Source organism: Homo sapiens, chromosome 14, assembly GCF_000001405.40.
Source record: "Homo sapiens chromosome 14, GRCh38.p14 Primary Assembly".
NCBI classification, from domain to species: Eukaryota; Metazoa; Chordata; class Mammalia; order Primates; family Hominidae; genus Homo; species Homo sapiens.
In genome coordinates, this window is record NC_000014.9 from 52,888,465 (window position 1) to 52,900,544 (window position 12,080).

General features: G+C 38.9%; 1 protein-coding gene and 1 long non-coding RNA gene across 9 annotated transcripts in view; one reads left to right on the forward strand and one right to left on the reverse strand.

Moving 5' to 3' along the window:
- Positions 1-12,080, forward strand: part of LOC105370500 (uncharacterized) — a 138,447-nt gene that overhangs the window by 96,677 nt on the left and 29,690 nt on the right. For both annotated transcript variants that reach the window (XR_943867.3, XR_007064167.1), the window contains exon 2: positions 9,609-9,690. This is a non-coding gene — a long non-coding RNA (uncharacterized LOC105370500). The remainder of the gene's footprint in view (positions 1-9,608; positions 9,691-12,080) is intronic.
- Positions 1-12,080, reverse strand: part of FERMT2 (FERM domain containing kindlin 2) — a 93,778-nt gene that overhangs the window by 31,192 nt on the left and 50,506 nt on the right. For all 7 annotated transcript variants that reach the window (NM_006832.3, NM_001134999.2, XM_006720010.4 and 4 more), the window contains exon 4: positions 4,829-4,963. In NM_006832.3, coding sequence (NP_006823.1) covers positions 4,829-4,963 — 135 coding nt within the window. The remainder of the gene's footprint in view (positions 1-4,828; positions 4,964-12,080) is intronic.

Consider the following 12,080-nt stretch of genomic DNA (forward strand, 5'->3'; position numbering starts at 1 on the left):
GAGAAGCAAAATTTAGTAAGTTCTGGAACTATTACAAAATTATCCAATGCTTCCAATTCTACCAGTAGCTTCTTGTCTTTTTGTTTTGTAAGATCTAAGCTGATAATTTTATTTTTCATACTCACAGGGTTTGCTTCTAGCCATTTCCGTATGATGTAAAAATTTTAAGATTTCCTGCTTCCTGGACTAGCATACTCTCAAGAATTTCTATGCATACCGGTCTTCACCTATGGTTTCCAGGCAACAAAACCTCCTCAGCTTCCCAAATTCTAACTCTCTAAGACTTATAGAAACATTCAGCGTTATCGCTTCTAATATTGATATGGGATGACTCTGATTGCCACTACTCATGTAGAGTACAGTATAAGGATTTGTTGGAGAATTTAAATTTTAATTAATTTTTTTTTTCTTTAAGGTAAACAAGGCTACAAAAATTAAGTAAAAGCTAGGTTGTGGCATCTCTGGCCACTGACGTATTTGCTAAAATTATGGGTCTGTGTGTACTCATGAGGGACAGAAGGGAGAAGGAGACGGGTGTGTGCACAGTGCAATGGTGAAAGCTCTAGCTTGGAAGCGGGATGAGCCTGGGCTTACAGCTCAGCTCTACCAGTTACCAGGGATTAGCTCCCAGGCAAGTGATTTAGCCACTCTGGGTTTCTCTTCTCATGCTACCAATTTTTCAGAATTGCTCAATTAATTAATATATTTTACTGTGTGGATTAAATATATTACATGTAGTGTTTTGGACAAGAAGTTGCTCAATAAATGTGGTTGTCAGTAATAGCAACGTTTTAATAAAAACATTGGTTTTCTTTCTGAAAAGGATCTCTTACAAATAAAGAGGCCACAAATGTCCCTTAGGACATTCAAAGCTGTCCAAAGGTCTAGCCTCTGAAAGGAAAGAACTGAGGAATAGTACACAGACCAGAAATAAAAGCAGCTGCAGTCTGGGTGAAAAGGGAACTGGGTGAAAAAGAACAAGGGAAGCCAAGATTGGGGAGTGTAAGAATTGGTAAGGATGCTCTGCTTGGGCACAAGCTAGCCAAAAACTGGGCAGCACAGGAACAGCCCAATGATGCAATGACAAAGGTGCAAGTTAGTACAGTCATGCACCTACTAACAATAGGGATAAGTTCTGAGAAATGTGTCGTTAAGGGATTTCACTGTTGTATGAACATCATAGAGTGTACTCATACAGGCCTGGATGGTATAGCCTTCTACACACCTAGGCTATACGGATGGTATAGTCTATTGCTCCCAGGCTACAAACCTGTACAGCATGTTACTGTACTGAATGCTGCAGGCAACTGTAACACAATGGTAAGTATCTGTATCTGTGTATCTAAACATCTCTAAACATAGAAAAGGTAGAGTGAAAATACAGGGCCAGGTGTTGGCTCATGCTTGTAATCGCAACACTTTGGGAGGCCAAGGTGGGTGGATCACTTGAGACCAGGAGTTCAAGACCAGTCTGGCCAACATGGTGAAACCCCATTTCTACTAAAAATACAAAAATTAGCCAAGTATGGTGGTGTGCGCCTATAGTCTCAGCTACTCAGGAGGCCGAGGCAGGAGAATTGCCTGTATCTTGGCTGCAGAGAGCCAAGATTGCTCCACTGCACTCCAGCCTGGGTGACACAGTGAGACTGTGTCTCAAAAAAAAAAAAAAATACATAAAATAAAGAAGGCTGGGTGCGGTGGCTCACGCCTGTAATCCCAGCACTTTGGGAGGCCGAGGCAGGTGGATCGATCATGAGGTCAGGAGGTGAGGAGTTCGAGACCAGCCTGACCAACATGGTGAAACCCCATCTCTACTAAAAATACAAAAAATTAGCCGGGTGTGGTGATGCACGCCTGTAATCCCAGCTACTCAGGAGGCTGAGGCAGGAGAATCGCTTGAACCCAGGAGGCGGAGGTTGCAGTGAGCCGAGATCGCAGCCACTGCACTCCGGCCTGGGCGACAGAGTGACACTCCGTCTGAAAAAAAAAAAAAAGAAAAGAAAAAAAAGAAGACAGTATTTTAATCTTATGGGACTACAGTCATATATGTGATCTGTTATTGACCAAAACATCACTATGCAGCACATGACTATATATATTTCTTACTATGTCACAATATTACATAGACATAATCTTTTATCCTCTTTTTTTTTTTTTGAGACAGAGTCTTGCTCTGTCGCCCAGACTGGAATGCAGTGGCACAATCTCGGCTCACTGCAACCTCCGCCTCCCAGGTTCAAGCGATTCTCCTGCCTCAGCCTCCAGAGTAGCTGGGATTACAGGTACCCACCACCACGCCTGGCTAATTTTGTATTTTTAGTAGAAATGGGGTTTCACCATGTTGGTCAGGCTGGTCTCGAACTCCTGACCTCAGGTGATCCACCCACCTCAGCCTCCCAAAAGTGCTGGGATTATAGGCGTAAGCCACCCGCGCCTGGCCCCTTTTATTCTCTTTTACCTCTTCCTCAACCTACAGGCTTCCACCAGTATCGGCAACCCTTCCCCATATTCCCTCCTGTACAAATTACTGACTGGAAGTAAATTTGATACTCTTTCTACAATAATGATTTGATAATTTTGTAAAATATTCAGAAACCAATGGTTCTACAATGCCCTAGTCTAAATTCCATCGTCTGTTGTTAAATATGTTCCAATGTTATCCTGAAGGAGCTCGGAGGTCTCTTCCCCCATAAACTGGCTCAACTCATTTATTCACATCTTGTATTTTTGCAAGGATGTTCTTTGTTAGTATCATTCTTTCTGCTTGGACTGCCTTTTCCCATCAAAAACCTAGCCACTGGAACTTAAAAGCTGAATTCACAAACTTTGTTTGGAATTGTTTTCTGAATTTCAAAAACACTATCTTCTATAAAAGTCATTTAACATTTATATATTACCTCCTTAAGTATAGTAACTGTTTTTCCACTAACCTATAAACTACTTAAGAGTAAGGATTGTCTTACTTCTTTGTATCTTTCAAAATGCAATCAGTACATAAAACAGAAAAGTTAGAAGGCTTGTGACCTTAGAAGACTTTTTACTGTGCCATAATTTCTTATCCTTATCCTCAAAATGTGGGTATTAACAATATCTACTGCAAAGAGCTGTAGTGAGAATTACATGGGTTTCCATGGGTAAAGTGCATGAAATAGTGGTGGGCACTGCACAGTAAGTGCTCTGTGAGTGCTGCTTTCATTATTAGTATCATCATCATCTCAGAATTTAAAAAACCAGAATGAACTAAATTAGTAAGATTAATTTAGATATTTGCTGAGGGGACCCATCCTAAGTAATGGATTTATACATTTGTGGCTGATGGAAATGTAGGAAACTGCAATGTTCAGTCCAGGTATATGCCCACGATTAAAGAACAATATAACCTAATTAATTAGCCACTTAGCTTCCCAACAGACATCACCTGCATGCCTGCTGAATGCCATATGCTGAGTTAGGTTCTGGTGACAAAAAGGTGACATAGCCCCTTCATGCAGTGAGCTCACATTAGCAAGGAAGAACACACAGTATAACAATACCAAACACAGAAAAGTCTGCTGACTCATGACAGAAAGATGCCTAATTCAGATTGGAAAAGTAATGAAAGGGAATCTAAGAAAGCTCCTCAAAGGAGCAAAACCTTTAAGGAAAAAAGGTAGGAAGGCCCGGAAACCAGAATATGCAAAGCAGAGAGAAGGCTGTTTTTTGTTTTTTTTTTTTTTTTTTTTTGAGACGGAGTTGTCACCCAGGTTGGCTCACTGCAACCTCCGCCTCCTGGGTTCAAGCAATTCTCCTGCCTCAGCCTCCCAAGTAGCTGAGATTACAGGTGCCTGTCACCACGCCCAGCTAATTTTTGTATTTTTAGTCAAGATGGGGTTTCACCACGTTGGCCAGGCTGGTCTCAAATACCTGACCTCAGGTGATCTGCCTGCCTTGGCCTCCCAAAGTGCTGGGATTACAGGTGTGAGCCACAGTACCCCGCCTGGTGCTGTTTTTTGTTTTTTTTTTTTTTTGAGATGGAGTTTTGCTCTTCTTGCCCAAGTTGGAGTGTGGTGGCACGATCTCAGCTCACTGCAACTCCCACCTCTTGGGTTCAGGTGATTCTCCTGCCTCACTCTCCCAAGTAGATGGGACTACAGGCACGTGCCACCACGTCCAGCTAATTTTTTTTGGTATTTTTAGTAGAGACAGGGTTTCACTGTGTTAGCCAGGATGGTCTCGCTCTCTGACCTCGTGATCCACCTGCCTTGGCTTCCCAAAGTGCTGGGATTACAGGCGTGAGCCACCGCGCCTGGCCTTAAGTAAGGTTTTAAGGAATAATGCATTAACCAAATAGTGGTGGTTTTCATGAACTAGATACTAAAAAAATTTCCAATTTCTGCCTGAGTCCAATTATGATACTATTCCTTTTTGACTCTCTGAACAAGAGAACTGGGCTTCCTCTTTATTGATTCAACTATTAACACCTGACATGATGATTTGCACATGAGAGAAACTGACACTGGATAGTGATTTCAGGACAGAGAAAAATGCTGAAGGAGAGTTTATGTTTTTTTTGAGACGGAGTCTCACTCTGTCACCCAGGCTGGAGTGCAGTGGCACGATCTTGGCTCACTGCAACTCTGCCTCCCGGGTTCAAGCGATTCTTCTGCCTCAGCCTCCCAAGTAGCTGGGACTACAGGTGTGTGCCACCATGCCTGGCTAATTGAAGTTTTTGTTTTTTTAACTTGACCACTCTTCCTGACCTACATGATCCATTTACCCACCACCAGAAAGACAAAGGTACACAGTCCACAGTTCTTACTTTGAGTCCATTGCTTGGTAAAAGTCTTACCTGATCCAGGAGTGATAAGAGGCCCCTCTAATTCAAGTGCCTCATCTTCAGACTGGTCATCTAGCTTCTTCTTTTTTTTCTTTGTTGGATCTCTGGGTTTCTTTAAGAGAGAAAGTTCTTCGGGGTGTCTGATATCTGTTAATAAAATAGATTGTTTTACTAGAACAAAGGAAAATTTAAACATTTTACACTTAGTAAATCTATTGTTTCAAGATAAGAATGTGTAACTTCCTTCTGTATGTCTGAGTTGTGTCAGACATTGATGTCATGCAAAACACTGATTATGACACTTAAACTACCCAAAGCATTCTTAATTCGTAACTATATAATAAATGTAATGACCTCAAAGTGGAAATAACAATCTACTAGGGTACGGAAAGAAAATATTAGAAGCCCTTATTTATATATTTATTTTTTATCTAAAACTGGAAGAAAAATTGAGTTTATATGTCCTTCACTCATTCTGTATGTCATAAGGTACACGTGATAAATGAAGTAAATGTAATGATACTTTTAAATCATTACCAAATCCCAGTTTTGTTTTTTTTTTTTTGAGACGGAGTTTCACTCTTGTTACCCAGGCTGGAGTGCAATTGAGCAATCTCGGCTCGCCACAACCTCCACCTCCCAGGTTCAAGTGATTCTCCTGCCTCAGCCTCCTGAACAGCTGGGGTTACAGGCATGTGCCACCACGCCTGGCTAATTTTGTATTTTTAATAGAGACAGGGTTTCTCCATGTTGATCAGGCTGGTCTTGAACTCCTGACCTCAGGTGATCCGCCTGCCTCGGCCTCTCAAGTGCTGGGATTACCGGCGTGAGCCACCGTGCCCGGCCCCAAATCTCAAATTTTAATTGATTCAAATATTCTGCCCTGTATCAAATGGCTACAAGTTTCTGATCTATTTTCATTTGAGGAGTCTGATAACAAGGAAAATGGTTAAATGAAAATAACAAAAGAAATTAAAAATGACCCAATTAAACACACACACACACAATATATATTGCACACGATGTTCACAAATTTCAAGACTCAATTTTGTTAAGAAGTCAATTCTCCTCAAATTAAGCTAAAGATTTAATGAGATGCCAGTCAAAATTCCAATTTGCTTTTCTGTAGAAGTTGACAGATTGTAAAATTTATATGAAAATGAGAACAATCCTAGAATAGTCAAAGACATTCTTAAAAAGAACAAAATTGGACGACTTACACTAACTGATTTTAAGACATCATAAAGCTGTATCAATCAAGACACTGAACTTACTGGCTAAATGATAAGACGTACAGATGAATGAAACAGAAGAGGGCCCCCAAAACAGACCTACATATGGGTGATCAGAATTTTTTGACAAAGGTACCAAGGCAATCCAAGGAGAAAGAAAAATCTTTTCAACAAAGTGCTGAACAATGATTCATATATATATGTTTTAAAGACCATTAACCCTTATAACAATAGCAAAAATTAATTCTAAATGACCACTGATCTAAATGTAACAGTCAAAATAATGAAACTAGAAGAAAGCATAAGACGACAAAGATTTCTTAGATAGGACACACAAAAAAGGAACCACAAAAAATTGCCCTTTATTTAAAAATAAAAAAAAAAAAAAAACCCCAACCTACCTACTCTTTAAAAGACACTGTTGAGAAAACAAAAAAGGCAAGCATACAGTGGGACAACATATTTGCAGCACACATATCTGACAAAAGTCTTGTATTCTGAATATAAAAAGAGCCCTAACAACTCAAGAAGACAAATGAACTAAGATCTGGACAATCACTTCATCAAAGAAATATGACCAAGCAGCACATGAAAAGATACTTGACGTTATCAGTCATCAGGGAAATACAAATTAAAACCACAATGAGATAGCAGTACCCATACATCAAAGAGGCCAGCATTAAAAAGACGTTACTACTCAGTGTCAGTGAGGATGTGAAGAGGAACTTGAACTCTCATAAGCAGCTGGTAGGACTATTAAATGAGACAATTTTTTGAAAACAGCTCAGCAATTCTGTATAAACATACATGTACCACACAACTCCAGACATTCTACCCCTAGTTATTTACCCAAGAAGATGAAAAGCACATTTGTAATAACTTGATTCATAAAAGCCAAAACTGAAAATAACCCAGATGGATAAACAAAAATGTGATATTTGCAAACCAACGGTATACTACTTAGACAATGGAACACAACTCACCAATCAGTAAAAAGAAACAACTGACACATGCAATAAAATGAATGACTCTCAAATTTATTATATTAAGTGGAAGATAAATTAGAAAAGAGTATATGTGATTCCATTCACAAAATTCCAGAAAATGCCAACAAATCCATAGTGACAGAAAGCAGATCAATTTGCTGGTAGCTGAAGTTTGACAGGTGACAGAAATATTCTGAATCTTGATTGTGGTGGTTTCAGAGGTATAAATATCTGTCACAACTCAAATTTCACACTTTAAATAGATACAGTTTATGGTGTATCTATTATACTACAATAAAGTTAATTAAAAAACTGTGAAACGATGAAGAACCCAAAAATTAACAATAAAAAAGAAAAGCCGCAGAAAGGAGAAGCAATAGGTCTACAGTCATGCGTCACTTAAGGATGGGGATGTGTTCTGAGAAATGTGTCCTTAGGCAATTTCATTTTATTTTTTTGTAGAGATAGGGTCTTGTCATGATGCCCAGGCTGGTCTCCAAACTCCTTGGCCTCCCAAAGTGATGGGATTATAGGCGTGAGCCACTGCACTTATTTTTAAAATGTATTTAAAAAATAAAGTAATCGCACTATGATGTTACAAAAGCTACATCATCACAAGGAGACGGAAAATTTTCAACTCCATTATAATCTTAAGGAACTATCACTGGATATGTGGTTCATCGTTGACCAAAATATTGTTATGCAGCACGTGACTGTGTATCACAATGTCTGGCAGCACTATACTATATGTCAGAGTATGAAGAGAACAGACAACACAATTCATATCACTACAAAACTTGTAAAGCTGTAGATTGCTAATTACTGGATCAAAATTTTACATGTGGCAGTTTACAGCTTTAGGAGCCCATGACATCCACTAGATTCAACCCAATATTATAAATTCAGAAAGCTTTTTGTTTGTAGGGGACCTGAAACTAGGATCCTACCATGCTGCTACAGAGTTGATGAGGCACAATTTAAGGTGGAAGCACACAGCCAAACTACCTAGATTCAAATCCTAGTTCCACTATTTATTAGCTGTGTGACTCTGGACAAGCTACTCAGCCTGTCGGTGTCTGAGTTTCCTTATCTAAAATGACAACAGTGCCTCAGGAGGTAGTTGTATAAATTAAATGATACATAACAAATGCTTTGTAAGTATTTGTGTCTTAATGTTTTTCCTCTAATTATAAAATGGCTAACAACAGAGACCTGGCACAGTGGTTCACGCCTGTAATCCCAGGACTTTGGGAGGCCAAAGTGGGAGAACTGCTTGAGCTCAGGAGTTCAAGACCAGCCTGGGCAACCTAGGAAGACCTTTTCTCTACAAACAAAATTTTTTTTTAAATTAGCCAGGCATAGTGGTGCACACCTAGAGTCCCAGCTACTCAGGAGGCTGAGGTGGGAAGACTGCCTGAGCCTGGAAGCTGCAGTGAGCCGTGACTGGGCCACTGCTCTCCAGCCTGCGTGACAGAGCAAGACCATCTGCAAAACAAATAAAACACACACACACACACACACACACACACACACACACACACACACACACACCATGGTAGAAATTTGGAAGTTACCTCCCTCCTCAAAAAATATAAATAACTGAATCATTTAAAATGTGTTCTTTCAGTACCATAAGACAGGGCAAAAAATAAAATGTTTTCATAAAAGGTGAAACATGACTAGCAAATCATTTTAACAACTGCATAATATTCTATGTAAATAAATCATAATTTAATCATTCTTCTAATACTGAGCCCATTATAAATAATATTTAATAATTCTACAAACATCTATGTCCATCTTTTTCCATATTTTATTTCAGAATTCACTGGAATAGAATTACTGGATTAAAGGTTATAATAATTTTAAGGCAAAGATGGAACAAGATGGATATATGTTCTTGTTTTATGTCTTTGATTAGTAGTAACGTACATCTCGTGTTTTTAATAATTTATATATATTTTCTTCCTTTTCTCATTTTTCTGTAAGATTTCTTCAAATCAAAGTTAATTTGCATGTAAAAATTAACATGGGAGCAATTACTGCAAACCACACTGGACTTTCTTTTTTAAAAAGAATTTTTATATAAACATTGTCCATGTTTAAATAAGAAGTCCAAATAAATTATTTTAATAAGTATGTGGGTTTTGGTCAGGTTTTCTGTTGGTTATTTCAACGTTACTCTTAGAAACACTCGGCCAGGCACGACGGCTCACGCCTGTAATCCCAGCACTTTGGGAGGCTGAGACGGGTGGATCACCTGTGGTCAGCAGTTTGAAACCAGCCTGGCCAACATGGTGAAACCCCGTCTCTACTAAAAATACAAAATTAGCTGGGCATGGTGGCGCATGCCTGTAATTCCAGCTACTCGGGAGGCTGAGGCAGGGGAATCGCTTGAACCCAAGAGGCGGAGGTTGCAGTGAGCTAAGATCATGCCATTGCACTCCAGCCTGGGCAAGGAGAGTGAAACTCCGTCTCAAAAAAAAAAAAAAAAAACAACCAAAAAAAAAACCCCACAAAGAAAGAAACACTGTGGGACATAACTAGGTTTTCATTTTGTTCTGTATTTTACAGGCTATTTTCTGATCGGTTTCTGAAACCTGAAAATGGAATTAGCAGAAGAACTATCCTGAACGAATATGTGACCACAGAGTAGGTAAATATAACTGCTCTTTAATTATTAATAAATTTGGGGTAAGTATATCTAATAAAGAGCAGAAATCATGTTAAGTAAATACCTGCTCCTTAAATTCTGCCACTTTCTTGAAAGCATCTAGGCATATCTGGTTTTTTTAAAAAACATACTACAGCATTTTTCAGCTAAAGTTACACAATTAAAAATCAAATATTTTCTTCATTCTTGTATATTTAAGATATAAAGTTAATCCACTTATCCTCAAATGTAATTTTTGGGGTTTCATGGATTAGCAATAATTACTATAATTAGGTAGGTTCAGAAACTCAGAAGTGATTTCAAGTATATTCTTTGAACCTAAGATTTATCTAATACAACTGCATCATTACTTCCTAGAGTTATTTTTAAAGGAGTAAGATTTAACATGTGAAGAGATCTAATGGTTTATGAATTCTACTTTTAATTCACAACGTACCCTCAGCTTTAAATGCCAGTGGGGCCATACTGGGATAAAATAAAGGCATTAGAAAATTCCAAGCCTCTGAATAAGCAGTTGTCTACACTGCTTCAACATTAAGTGGAGGCAGGGTGGTGGTGGTACTCTCTCTCCACCCATTCATTTCTCCAAAGTAAATCAAGTACTAGTATGTGGTGAAAAATCTAAAAAGTATTGAAGGATAAATAACAAATCCTTACATAACAAATCTCATGCCTGAGATATGATATGCTTCTAACAAAGTCACCACAGGCACTATTTAGTGGGAGACAGTAAGGCAAGCATTACATTTCGAAAAGTTCTCCCAAATGTTTCCGCCATATCCCCCAGGTTTGAGAGTCACTGTACTACATGATTCAAATGTATTTTTGTTCCTAGGTCATTTTCTGTCTGGCTCACAAACCAGGTAGTATTAAATGTATATTAATATGCATATTTACATTAGTAAAAGAATATTGTTAAGTAGCTTTTTTGTCTGTCTTAAGTAGATAAAGCAGTTCTTAACTAGATGGGCCCATGAGAATTGCTTGTAAAATCAATAATAATAATATTAAAAATACATGCTGGGACCATATCCCCAGATTTTTGCAGTAGCTCAGGGCTCTAGCGGCTTGTTTTATATAAGTTCTGTAGGCAATTCTGATTCCAGCTTTTATTTATTTATTTTTTTTGAGACGGAGTCTTGCTCTGTCGCCCAGGCTGGAGTGCAGTGCCACAATCTCAGCTCACTGCAACCTCTGCCTCCTGGGCTCAAGCGATTCCCCTGCCTCAGCCTCCGGAGTAGCTGGGATTGCGGGCGCCCGCCACCACACCCAGCTAAGTTTTTGTATTTTTAGTAGAGACAGGGTTTCACCGTATTAGCCAGGATAGTCACGATCTCCTGACCTAGTGATCTGCCCTCCTCGGCCTCCCAAAGTGCTGGGATTACAGGTGTGAGCCACTGCACCTAGCCTCCAGCTTCTTGATAATCACTAGTTTAGGGAAGGGAGAGAATGAAGGGTAGCAAGAATGACTTATTTTTCTAATGGTAGGTAGTTCCATATTGGAACTGGGTAGCCATTGGCTGCATATGAAGTGTGAAAAAGTGGTTTGCATTTCATTACAACAATAACAAAGTAAACCTAACTCTCCACATTAAGATACTGATCATTTCACTGACATGAGAATTTAGGACTTACTGATTTACTGTATGCCTTGTATCAAGAAGTAATTAACAGACTTAGAAATCTGTATAAGATTTCTAAATGTGTAAGAGTGGGGCTGGAGAAGAACATAAGTAAGTAAACAAGATTTATACCAAAATAAAACATACCCAGAGGACTGTGAGACATGAAAACTTTAAAATAGCCATACCAAAATACTATACTAATTTATGCTCAATTTTACATTTCAATAAGGATAAGCTAGCATTTATGAGGCACTACACAAAGCAATGCTCCAGAACCTCTATAACAGAATATATAGCAATGTTTTTTTTTGTTTGTTTGTTTGTTTTAAAGATAGGGGCTCACTGTCACCCAGGCTGGAATGAAGTAGTGTTAGTGTGCTCACAGGTCACAGCAGCCTCGACTTCCCAGGCTCAGGCAATCCTCCTGCCTCAGCCTCCCAAAATACTGGGAATGCAGCAGGCCTGAGCCACTACACCCAGTGATAGCAACGAAATTTAATGTTCATTATAATTAGCATGTTATCAAACAGAAGATGAATCTAGTCTAATCTACACAGGCTATATAAATACTATACATATAAAAAAGCATGAGGGTGAGGGGAATTGAGAAACTGAGGTAAAGAAGGGTTCTCAGGGAAGATAAAGCGTTTCTGGTTAAAAAAGTATATTGAATACGTGCATTTATTTTCACTCCTTTCAAAATCACGTAAAAAATAAAGAAAACATAAACCTATAAGGGCCCCCAAA